Source organism: Homo sapiens, chromosome 1 (assembly GCF_000001405.40).
Source record: "Homo sapiens chromosome 1, GRCh38.p14 Primary Assembly".
NCBI classification, from domain to species: Eukaryota; Metazoa; Chordata; class Mammalia; order Primates; family Hominidae; genus Homo; species Homo sapiens.
In genome coordinates, this window is record NC_000001.11 from 86,767,662 (window position 1) to 86,781,251 (window position 13,590).

General features: G+C 40.7%; 1 annotated feature.

Annotated features, from left to right (window-relative positions):
• Window positions 5,951-7,150: an enhancer, noted in NCBI's record as "MED14-independent group 3 enhancer chr1:87239295-87240494 (GRCh37/hg19 assembly coordinates)". NCBI's record gives its function as "activates an origin of replication core promoter dependent on BRD2, BRD4, P300/CBP and CDK7 cofactors, and independent of MED14, by STARR-seq in HCT116 cells {active_cell/tissue: HCT116}" and the evidence as "EXISTENCE:reporter gene assay evidence [ECO:0000049][PMID:35650434]".

Consider the following 13,590-nt stretch of genomic DNA (forward strand, 5'->3'; position numbering starts at 1 on the left):
GGGATGACAGAAGCAAGAAGCACAAGGAAGAAAGCAAAGGAATATTTCTGTATAGGAGGAGGGAAGTGTGTTAGTTTTCTATTACTGTGCTAACAAATTGCCACAAACTTGGTGGCTTAAAGAATACGAATGTTTTGTATTACAGTTCTGTAGGTCAGAAATCTGACTTGGGTCACACTGAGCTAAAATCAAGGTGCTGGCAAGGCCACATTCTTTCTAGAGGCTCTGAGGGAGAATCAATTTCTTTGACTTTTCTAGGTTTTAAAGACTGCTTGCATTCCTTGGCTTGTGGCCCCCTTCCTACTTCTTCAAAACCAGCAACAGTGAATTGAATGCTTTTCCTGTTGCTATCTCTGGTTCTCTGTTTCTAAGGACTTGTGTGATTAGATTGAGTCCTGCACAATCCAGTGTAATTGTCCCATCTCAAATCCTTAACCTTAATGACAGCTGCGAAATTGCCTTTACAATTGTAAGATAACATATTCACAAGGTGGATTAGACATGGACATCTTTGGGGGCCACTATTCTATCTACCACAAGAAGGAGAGCAGCTGGCTCAAGAACTGGCCCAGCAGAGGGATTAAAGAGTGTGGAAGGAGATGGAGGTAAAATTTCTACATATGTGATACTTCTGGGTCTAGAGTTTTTGATAATGGAATTTTCTACACTTTCAATTCATATTCCCTTCATCCCGTAGATCTTATTGTTTAGCCTAGAGCTTCCTCAGAAACCATATGTGACTTGTGTGCTTCCCCTTTCCAGCTCAGTAATACAAAGAAGAAGCGTTCCCTCCACCAGCACTACCCCTCTGTCAATTAGAATAGGTTAAATTTTTCTGTGATAATAAATAGTCTCCAATTCTCAGTTGCTTAAGATAGCAAAAGTTTATTTCTTACTGATGCAACATGTCCACCACAGGTTGACCAACAAGCTCTGCTCCAAATCTCCTCACTCCAGATCCCAGACTGATAGAGCAGCCACTATTTCAAACATCACCAGGTGCCACAGCAGAGGGAATGAAAGTTCTGGAGGGTCTCACACCAGCTATTATATGCCCCAGCCTGGAAGTGACACACATCAATTCTACCCACATCTTATTACCTTGAACTCTTCACATGACTCTACCCACATGAAAGGTCCAAGAAGTATAAGCTTATCATGTACACACAGGCAAAGAGCTAGAAATGTGTGAGCAGCATTAATGATGCTACAACCCCCTACTTTAATTTTTATATGAATGGTACCCATATTCTTCCAATGTCTGGGGTTCCAAGCCTTGGTGACCTTTTTAACTGACTCTTATAGCCAATCAAATGTTAAGTCCTGTCCAGGCATGATGGCACACACCTGTAGTCCTGGCTACTCAGGAGGCTGAGACAAGAGGATCCTGTGAGGCCAAGAACTGCACTTCAACCTGGGCAACATAGCAAGACTCCAAGAAAGGAAGGAAAGAAAGAGGGAGGGAGGGAGGGAAAGAAGGAAGGAAGGATGGAAGGAAGGGAGGGAGGGAGGGAGGGAGGGAGCGAGGGAAAGAAAATGAAAGAAAGGGAGAAAAAGAGAAAAAAGAAAGAAAGAAAAAGACAAAAATGTCATGTCATGTCCGCTCTTGCTTCAAAGCGTCTCTCCCGTCAATCCTTTATTTTCTACTAGCACTATCACTACTTAGTTCAGGCATAAAAGTATACAGTACTTCATTTTCCAAACTTTTTCACTATGATCCATAGTAAGAAATGCATTTTACATTGAGACCAAGTACAAACACACACATACATGCCCACACACATAACTGAAAAGTTAGTAAAGTTACTCTTACTCTGTTCTATTCTCTTTTTATAATGCTGGTTATGATTCATGTATTAGAGTTCTCCAGAGAGACAGAACCAATAGGATGGATGGATGGATGGATGGATGGATGGATGGATGGATGGAGTGACGGAGGGATAGATAGATAGATGATAGATAGATAGATAGATAGATAGATAGATAGATAGACAGACAGACAAGAGGGATTGATTAGAGAAATTGGCTCTGTGATTATGGAGGCTGAGAAGTTCTGTGATAGGCCATCTGCAAACTGGAGAACCAGGGAAGCTGGTAACATGGCTCAGGCCAAGTCTGAAGGCCTCAGAACCAAGGAAGCCAAAGTGTAACTGATGGTTTGAGGCCGAAGGCCTAAGAACCTAGGGGGCCATTCTGGTGCAAGTTCCAGAGTCCAAAGGCCAGAGAACCTGAAGTTCTGATGTCCAAAATCAGGAGAAGGATGTTTCCGTTCCAGAAAAGAGAAAGTAAGAGAGAGCAAATTCACCTTTCCACTACCTTTTCGTTCTATCTGGACCCTCAGCTGATTGGATGAGGGTGGATCTTCCTTACTCAGTCCACTGATTCAAATGCCAGTCTCTTCCAGAAACACCCTTACAGACATACACAGAAACAATGCTTTGCCAGCTATCTGGACGTGCCTTAATCATAAGCCACTAACGAGTTGTGACCTACAGTCTCATAGACAACAAAGTAAAATTTCTATATACTTTAGAACTAAACTCGCTTCAGAAATGACTTCACAACTCACCACTTATACAAATTTAGGCATCATCTCCTCAGCTTTCAGACTACAACAGTGTTTCCTATCCCACAGGTGAGAATTAGCTTGATGACTAAAAGTCCTTGGTACCTAAAACTACTTAGCAGTATTAGTCCTTTTTTCCTAGTTTGTCCCTCTTCACCTTTCTTTTGGATTTCTTTTGTTCATTTTTTCATTCATTAATAAAAAGTTTATTAAGATCCCATTGCTTGAGGGGAAATGTGCTAGGCCCTGGGGCTACAAAGACAAATAAGACATAATCCATGTTCTGGAAACGTTTACAGACTAACAGAGGAGATCAACATGTAAACAAATGATTGCCATGACATGGCAATCCTATAGCAAAAGAATGGAAATGACTTTATGGAGATTCGGAGGAAGAACAACACACCCTGAGAGAAGATGAGAGAGATTAACATTGATTAAACTCTGCTTTGTTCGTGTGGCTTAAAATCTAGATTTCTTTATGGGGCTTTTAAAGCTTTTTCTAACTTGCCTTATTGCCCATTCACCTATTCAATCTGCCCTCTTTCTACTCCCCAGCAAGTGAGATATTAAATCTTTTCAGGCTAAGACAGGTGACCAGCGTTATTGTTCCTACCATTCCAATGGTTGTTGTCCTGAGACTAAGCTGGTCACATTACCATCTCTCCACTCATGTTTGGTACAACCTCAAGTTGTACGAAACACATTATCCTGTTGACACTAAATAAATAACCAGAGAGCCTTTCTCTGCCTTTTCACTTTGAACTATCTTACCATCCTCTAAAACCCAGCTCAGTTCTAGCACTTCAAGAAACCTCCTCAAATTGCTCCAGCCTAGACTAGCCCTCTAAGAATCCCTAATGCAGTTGTCAAATTTTCTTGTATATTTCCTTAAATGTTTTTGAAAAATAATCTATGTGCACTCTACACAATTTTAAACTAAAAAAATGTTAATTATAAGCTTAATTCCCAACATGTTCTATGATGCATACAGGCTCTGAATATATTTTTTTGTCAAAATCTTGGAACTGTATACTAAGATCAATTTATAGGCAACATCCACCATAGAACTTGGCAAACCTAGTCATTGTCAAATCAGTCATCTAAATCAGACTGACTTTCTGTCAGAAAAAGTCTTACTTCATTTTTCAATTCAAATAAGCATATTTATGCTCATCCCTGGGACAAACATCTCACTTTCAAATTCTAATTGAAAGATGGATGAGTGGATAGATGGATGGATGGATGGATGGATGGATGGATGGATGGATGGAAGAATGGATGAATGAGCCCTCAGAGCCTTGCCAAGAGTTTCCCTCTTGGATAAGAATAAAAAGTTCCCTTCAACATTTCCTTCTGGCACCCATGGGACTCCCCTCAGGAGCAAGGCATCCTGGAATTGTCCCTTCGCTTTGTGCCCTGGGAAATCCACATTAATAGGATTTAGAATGGATGAGAGGTTTGTTTGTCATTAATAAAAAAGGGAATTTTAAAAGGAGGTGGGAAGAGCCAACCAATCACAGACTTGGCAGATCAATCTTAGGAAAAAGTACAGTTGGAAATTGAGAATATAAAAATTAATTTCCTTACAAGAAATGTAAGGGCCTCATGGAAAGTCATTTGCTCTCCTCCCAAGGGTGGGCATTCCCGTTGGGTTGAAGACCACTGCCTGGAGGTCAAAAGTCTAATTTCACACATGGACTTGTGTGAGTCTAAGCATTAGAGCTTGCCAGCTTTCTGACCCACCTCTTAGTTTTAGGAGACTCCTTCGAGGTCATGTACTCAATTCCTCTCAGCTTTGTGTCAACTGTTCATTGTGGCCTATTTTCATTTTATTTCCTTTATAAAGTTCTAAATTTCTCTCTTTTTTTTTCAAAGTAAATAACCACTTTCATGCTAGTTTTCTGTGGTTATGTAATTGTAGTTTAGTTTATGTAATCATTTTTAGTTAAAATTTCTTATTGATACATGATTGTATATATTTATGAGGTGCATGTGATATTTTGATACATGCATACAATGTATAATGATTAAATTAGGGTATTTAGGATATCCACCACCTCAAACATTTATCCTTTCTTTGTGTTGGGAACATTTAAGTCTCTTCTAGCTATTTTGAAATATACAATAAATTATCATTAACTATAATCACCCTACTGTGAACACTACTGTGAATGGCTATCAAATACTAGAACTTATGCCTTCTATTTAACCTCAATTTCTTGAATGAAGAGGCTGTGAAAACTTATTTTAGCTTCTCTCCTCTTTCTCTCTCAAAAAAATTCCTGGCCTGGGCATCTTTTTCCTGGTTGAAAGGTGTCTAGATAACCACCTTGGTAGTTTCAGGTGGGTTGGTGAACACAGAAACTGGATTTGGAGTTGGATAGTCTTACATAAACCTGTGGAAACATCTTAGTAACTTTTCCTGCCCCCACAAAGACCACACACCCCTCTATAGAGACAGGAGTATTTTTAGTAAAATATGCTACTAGTTGCAGGTTGATTTTCAGCCTGCCATTTTATGAAGTCCTACTAGACTTGCTGGAAACTTGGAAAATGCTGTATCTGCTCTAGTCTACAGCAGTAGGACACCAAGCAGTCCATTGAGTTCAGTTCAGCCACAGTTATTACACTTTGTGCACCTACTAAACAAAAGAAAAACACAGTATTTCTGCCTTCGAAGAGCTCACAGATTACAGGTAAATCCAGGGTATATACACATACAATCTCAGTTATGATGGCTGCCAGGCTAACCACCTTCCTAGTGATTTAGGCTGCTGAAAGTCTTAGAAAAGGACTGTAAAATCTCCTAACATAAAAAGTGGCTAAAAGAGGTATTAGGAGTTGATCACTTGGCTCCCCTCTCTGGGTCTTGCCCAACTCTAGCCACAACGACAAGCATCCAAGTTAAATTCTCACTTCCAAATCTAATACCTGCTTGAAGAACTTCCCAGTTGCCTCTTAGCTTTGCTTCATGGCACATTCCTGGTAAATCAAAATTCTAAACAAATTTATCCTGTCAACAAGGGACTATTTACCACTCCATAAATCAACCCAGATTTTTCATCCTGCTCTACTATATACGATGGGTAAAGTATTCTAGGTGATCTTTGAGCATTTTATCTTTTTCTTGAGAGAGGCAGATTTGGGGCACGATTCTGAATCTTCTGGGGCAGGCAGGTGCTCTCAGACTTTGGTTTTGATGTAGTGGTGATAGCTGTGGTCTTCACTGCGCTACAGGCCAGCTGACAAGGATGTTGCTCTCCTTCCAACCTGGGGCTCTTGGTTATCCTTGAAGGAGAGGAAGTGAAATCTTCTTATTTTAATGACCTAATCAGAGGAGCTGAATCAAAACACCATTTGGCAATACCTCAGTACATGATTCTCTAAGGCTCACAAAAAAGTTTTGAAGGAAAGGGTAGTTTGTACTTTCTATCTAAATAAACATTTTCTGAAGTCACAGTACAAAGAGTAGACTACAAGTCCTAATGACCATGGATATCATATACAAAACAAGATTAGTACCTGAGCTTAGGAGGGAGTATTTGTACTTACAACATCTAAAATATCAAATTAATGAGTCAGAACTTTGGCCTTCATTCTATCTGCCTTTGTAAAACATATCTCAGACTTCTCAGGGTAAACTTGATCTGATTCAAACTGGAAACAAGGTATCTCCTGGCCGAGATCTTCTCCTTTCAGATTAAACAGTCTGAAAGGAAAAATGGGATCTTCCCCATTTTAAGAGAATAAACATGTGTCTCTGAGGGGAAAAGAAAATGAAAACATTCTATCAACCAGCACAGCACACTGAGGAAGAGCCAGGTGCAAGCTCAGGGCAACAAGACACGTTTTCTCATTCTCCTTCACTGCCACCATCCTTTCCCAACCCCTGCACTCCCTCTGTCCCCCTCCATCCCCATTAAAAAACAGCAACAAACCGCTATGATTAATGACTAAAGAATAAGAGCAGGTGTACAATCTTTATACATTTTAGATTTGGATCAAATTCACTCTTCTCAATTCCTCTTCCTAAAGCCCCACCAATAATCCTTTGCCATCTGCCCCTCCTCCCCTTTCCTTTCTGAGGCTGCTAATGAAAGTGGGGTGGCCAGGACTGAAGAAGGACTTGAGCTGGCTGTCTCTGATTGACTCCTAGCTATCTCATGCCCCCGCTTCCTGCTGGCAGAAAGCAATGCAAAGTGACTGCTGTAGGAGCAGCTGCTGAAGCTCATTTCCCTCCCCCGATGCCTGTCACATTCTTGGGCAATATTTCAGAAGCTTACTCATCCTGCCACTCACTTCCCCCGCCCCCATACCCCTGCCCCCAAACAAGACATTAGGAAGGAAACATGAGAGATTTTATTTTAGCCTAATTGAGCAACAGCCCTTACTTCATCTTGAGTAAGATAAATGGGCTGTCCAACTTCACTTCTCACTTTATCTGTAATGAGGTTTCTCTCTCAACTGTTTACCAAAGTATTAAAAAGCACTTTGTAGCGCCGGCTGGTATATTCCATCAAAGAGAGTCAATAGAACAGATGAAGACATATGAGAAAGTCAGGAGATAAGGTGCCTTTTATGAAAGTTCAGATTCCAGACCTATTAAAAAGAACCGCTTCCCCCTCTGTGAATTCAGGGACAAAAAAAACAACCTTTTCCTCTTTGGCAGTAAGGTGGTTTCTCATAGGGTAGGACAGCACCTGGCAGGTTTTCCCAGAGTCTGATCGAGGTGAATAATTAATTGTAGTCATTAATGTCCGGGTGGTAAGAAATTGCCAGAATTGTAAGATCCTAATAGGCCATTAGCATCTCTATACTGGATGCACTTTAGTGGACTCTTCCTCTGACCAGCAGCGATGAAACACTGTTCTGTTCTTGCTCAGGCTCTGTCTCCAGCTATTCTGGAAGAGTCGGTCACATTCAGATGTTGAAAGGTACAAGATAGGGAGTCCGAGGAGCAGACCCTGCTCAAGATTTTGACACTAAATGCTGTGTGACCTTAAATGAGCCATTAAATCTCACCACTATATAATTTCTTCCCTTACAAAGTAGGGAGGAACTATCTCATGCTGATAACTGTTCTGATAGGAAATCTGTTTTGATATATTGTGATTTTTACCTAAGAATTAAGTATGGATATTTTGTTGCATTATAGCCTCAGTCCTGTTTGTAGCTGTCATTCAACAGTATGAGGGCCTACTATGCCTGTACTTGTGGTAGGGAGGAAGACAAGACATATAAACCTGCAAAGTGAAATAAAAGGCACAGCCCTGTTGGAATGGGAAGCCAAATTTCTACTCCTCATTCAAAACCTCATGAAATATCTCTCCCTGACTGCCTCCCCAGCTATCTTGGCAAACAGTGCATTCCATAGAAGATCAGGGCCTTTATCACCTCGTGCAGTCATCTGTCTTTTCAACCTCCTCTGACAGCCTGTTATCTTCTAAAAGAAAGGACAGTGTCCTGCTCATTTCCTTATTCCCCCATCCCTAGCATAGTTCCTGAAATATGGTAGGCATGCAATATTTCTACATAAGTAAATGGATGGAGTGAATAATAAATGCCAAATACAGACCATAAGATACAAAAGAGAGGCAGCCATGGTGGACAGAGCCCTGAAATAGGAGCCAGAAGATCAGGGTGCAAATCATCAACTTATTATTCCATGAAACTCTGACTTTGGGCTCTCTGTGACCCAGTGTCCACATCTGAAAAGTGCTAATGCCCAAACCAAACAGGGTTATTGTGGGAATTAGGTAAAATGCTCTAAACAAAATTTAGCTCCCTTATCTTGTATTCCTTTTCCCTAAATAGTTGGAATACAACACTGGAGTCCAAGTTGCAACCCGAGGTGCAACTACAGGTTTCTAGGTTATCCAAGAAGGAAGAAGTTGTAAACCACAGGAGTAGATGAATTCTCAAGGAGAAAATGAAGAGAAAGAGGCTGATAACAATATCCAAAGGAATATACACAATTACAGGGCTGCAGAGATCATGAGCTAAAGAAAAGACTGAAGAAAGACGACATTGTATCATGCATCTAATTCAAGAACAGTATGGTGAAATCTACGGAATGTCATAACAAGGTCCAGGAAATAAAAGACTAATTCATTATGCATGATTATTTTGGCTTCTAGACCTTAAATTTTGGTCATGGTTTAAAGCTCTTCTAGTTGGATGACCATAAAAATTCTCAATGCATTTTCAACAGTCTTACAAAAATGGAAGACAAATTTTGTGAAGGGAAAGAGAACTTATGAATATATCCTTTTCCCTTTCTTCTTTCTTTTTTTTTTTTGTTTTTTGAGACAGGGTCTCACTCTGTCATCTAGGCTGGAGGGTGGTGGCATGTTCATGGCTCACTGCAGTTTCAACCTCTGAGACTCAAGCATTCCTTTCACCTTAGGCCCCCACAGAGCTGGGACTACAAGCATGAACCACCAGGCACCACTAGTTTTTGTAGAGACGGGGTTACACCATGTTGTCCAGGCTGGTCTCGAACTCCTAAGCTCAAGCAACCCACCCACATCACTTCCCAAAGTGTTGGGATTACAGGCGTAAGCCACCACGACTGGCCAAACATCCTTTTTAAAATGAGTCATATGAAGACTTTTTAGGCCCAGGCATGGTGGTGCGTGCCTGTAATTCCAGCTACTCAGGAGGCTGAGGCAAGAGAATCACTTGAACCCAGGAGGTGGAGGTTGCAGTAAGCCAAGATCGCATCACTACACTCCAGCCTGGGTGACAGAGTGAGACTCTGTCTCAAAAAAAAAAAAAAAGACTCTAGACCAAGAATGGACCAAAACAGACAATAGTGGTGGTACACCACTTGTCCTGGACACGCTACTTCTATTATTCTATTATTCCATCCTTGGGTTGCACTCATGTTTGTGGCAAACTCATTCTGGCTCATATTAAGTCTGTGGCTGACTAAAGCAACATTACTGCTTTTTTTTTTTTTTTTTTTTTTGAGACAGAGTCTCGCTTTGTCACCCAGGCTGGAGTGCACTGGTATGACCTCAACTCACACCTCCACCTCCTAGGTTCAAGCGATTCTCGTGCCTCAACCTCTTGAGTAGCTGGGATTACAGGCACGTGCCACCACACCCAGCTAATTTTTACATTTTTAGTAGAAACAGAGTTTTATCATGTTGGCCAGGCTGGTCTTGAACTCCTGACCTCAGGTGATCTGCCCACCTTGGCCTCCCTAAGTGCTGGGATTATAGGTGTGAGCCACTAACCCCGGCCGACATTACTTTTTTAAAGTGTAATTTAAGCCCAAATTTGCTTAACAGTCTACTCACCTAATTAATTATTTTGAACTTAAGTTAGGTTCAACTTGGACTTAATTGATTCTGTCAAAACATATTTAAAGTATTGATTCAGACATTCAAATTTGAGTTAGTCCTCCAAGATTTTTGTCACCTAAAAATTTGACTGTCATGCCTTCGCTGTGTTTCCTTACCATTGATTGTTTTTTAAGATTGAATAGCATTTTACTAGAAACAGGACCCCAGTTAACTATTCCTTAATCCATACACTTCTGTTTTGTTTTGTTTTTTTTACTTCTTAGAATTAATCTAAATAAAAATCCACTAAATTAAGGGCTCCTTGAGGGCAAGAACTGGGCTTATGTAGCTTAATATTTCGATCAACCCAAGGCCTGGCAGACAGTTGTATCCAGCTACATTTCTCTCTCCATGTCCCTCAGGAAGTGCCGTCTAACTCTCTGAAAGCCAGACCTCCTGGGTCTGCAACTTCCCATGGTCTCTAACTGGGCAACCAACATTTTTAGTAAAAGCATTACTAATTCCTACCATGTTCTTTCTGGCTCAGAGAGGTGCCACTTTCTTTTCTTAATTTTCACAAAACATCTATTTTTTAATCTCGCCAAGCTTATAAGTAGCTTAATACCTGTAGACATAGTCAAGAAATAGTTTGAAGAACTAGCCTTACTTCTAGGCTTTACAAGATTGAAACCATGTTTTTCTGGGATTTGTTTTCTTGCTTTTCCTAACGTGATTCAGGGTGGACCTAATCCCGTCATTCCTTACAGTTACATGCTCATCCTGGGCTTGCCCCCATGTCTGAGCAGGAGGCAGTGGCACACAGGCAGTTAAAATATGATGGATGGAGAGAAGAGAACCCACAGCACCTTGTTCTGCAGAGACCTCTCCTGGGGTTAGGTGGCCGTAGGGATGAGTGCAGACAGTGGTTTCACAATTCTCTCACTTCCATTTTCTGATTTTGCTGCAGAGCTATCCCAGTGCTTGGCTTCATCCCTGGATTCAGCCCATTAGCTCCCCATGGACACACTGAGTCTCACACCCTAAGCAGAGCTCCCAAAGGCAGGCACAGACTTAGGCACTTAAGTCAGGCCTCTTTGGGCAGCCAAAGAGTCTCGTGACCTAACAGAATTTCAGGCCTATCCTGGAGGCCTAGTCAGCATAGGCAGGAAGTGACTTTTTTCTGATCACAGCCTCTACCTTATTTTTCTTTTGGAAGTAGAAAGAATCATGTTCTGGTTACCTTCCAGAGATAAGAAACCATCATGACTCACATTTATACCAAGTGCAGTTTATAACACACTTTTGCAATGAATTCCCACAATAACTTCCATTTTTCAGTTACAAAAATGGCTGCACTACAAAGTCAATTGACTTACCCAAAATCACCTAATTGGTAAGTGGCCATGTAACAAACTCTGGTATGTTTGACTCCTGATGCCTTGTTCTTCCCGTTGCACTACCCACATTGCTATCTATTAAACAAGTATTTATTGGGCCCTGATGATGCCAGGCCCCAGGCCAAGTTCCAGGATATACTAGTGAACAAGTAATAGAACTTTCACTTACACAGGGAAAACAGAGAGTAAATAAACACATGCTGAGAAGAGCAATTATCACATAGTGGTTAAAAGTTTAGGTTCTGAACAAGATGCCTGTGTTTGAATTTATACTATTTTATTTTATCTTAAGGAAGTTAATTAGGTTTTCTATGTCTTAACTTCTTCATGGGGATATAATATTACTATCAATCTTACAGGTTTTGAGGACCAAATGAGTTAATACGTGTTAGCGCTCATAATTGGTGCCCAACAGTAGCCGTGATAACAGGAAGCTCTGAAAGAAATGGGGTCTCTTACCCTACGGGAATGCGGATGGGGTAGGGATTGCTGAGGTTTAAGAAAGTTTTCCTGAAATCAATGCAGTCTAATCTGAGGCCTGAAGGATGAGGAGGAGTAAGGTCTGCAGAGGCTGAGTGCATGTGAGAGAGAGAATGTTGAGAGGTGTGGAGGCAAGTGCAGGGTGGAAGAAAGAGCTGGCAGAGAACAGCGCGTGCATAGGATCCATCAGACTGTAAACTGAGCCCATAGTTGCTACATCTCAGGGCTGGCTCCATTCCCAGATCTTACTAAAACACTTGTCAGGGTAAAGGTGGGAAGTTTATCAGAAAGAGAAAACTTAAGGCTTTTAGCCTCTGTCTTATCTCAACGTCTCCTGCTCCTTCTCCCTCTCGCTTTCTCAGCAACATACAATGGGAAAAGCCCCAAATTCCAAAGGTAACACTGGACTGATGCTCTGGCTCCATTTCCTATACCCATGACCCTGGGCATTCCATGTCTTCTCTAGGTCTCAGATTCCTTCTCTGTAAAAAGTGGTAACAACAATTCTTCCTTCAAGTGCTCATAAAATATGAAAGTTGCACAAACCTACTCAGGTTGAATTCTCAACTTTGTTATTGTGTGACCTAGAGTAAGCTACTTAACCATTCTGAACCTCATTTTTCTCATCTGTAAAATGGGAATGATAAGAATAATGTCTCCTAGGGCTTATCTCCCCAACTTTTTATTTTGAAAAATAATTTTATAAAAAGTTTAAAGAATACCTGTATAACCTTCATATAGATTCACCAACTGTTGACATTTTGTCATATATTTGTTCATCCCCTGTACATGTATGTGTGTGTTGTGACATTGTGACATTTCCACTGTAAACATTCCAAGATAAATTTCCTAAGAACAAGGAAATTCTTCTACATATCTACCATACCATTATCACACCTAAAACATTTACCATTATTTAAAAATACCATCTAATAAGCGGCATATATCCAAAGTTACTCAATTATCTTCAAAATGACTTTTATGGCATTTTTAAAAACTCAGAATCTAATCAAGCTTCATGGACCTATTACCTATTATATCTCTTTTGTCTCTTTTAACACTCTCCCTTTTTTTTTTTTTTTTTTTTTTTTTTTTTGGGTGGGAGGTGGAGGTTCATGACATTGATATTTTTTAAGGATTTATGCTAGTTGTCTTTAAATTGTCCCCAGATTTATATGATTATTCCCTCATTATTAGATTTAGGTAAAATGTTCTTGGCAAAAAGACTGCGTAGGTGATGGAGTTACAGCAGCAAGACGGTAGAATGGGAAGCCCCAAACTTTATTCCTCCATGGAGACATTGATTTAACAACAACATACTGTCCAAAGCCTTTATGAAAACTTCAAAAACAGTTCAGAAGTTGCAATATCCCAGGCAAGCTCAAAACCAAAAACACCACATCCAAATGGTTAAGAAGAACCATTTCATTTCAGTTGCATCAGCCTTTCCCCCAGGTTGGCACAGCGTATTGTAACTGGGAAAAAGTATCCAGCTTACACCTTCTCCCTTGGGAGAGAAAGAGAAGATTGGAACATGTGTCCAACATTCTGGCTATCTAGATGGCTGGCCTACGATCTGATTTCTATCTATCTACCTGACCCAGAGTACTAACCAAATAAGCATGTGTTGGATACCTGAGGGCCACAGAGAACAAAGGAGAGATCATCAGCTTGATACAATGCCAGACAGTCTGCAATATTCCAGACAAACACCAGAGGGAACAAGATATTACAAACTCCTTCTTAAAAAGTGAGCAGGCAGGGAGCAGTGACTCACGCCTGTAATCCCAGCACTTTGGGAGGCCGAGGCATGCAGATCACTAGGTCAGGAGCTTGAGACCAGCCTGGCCAATAT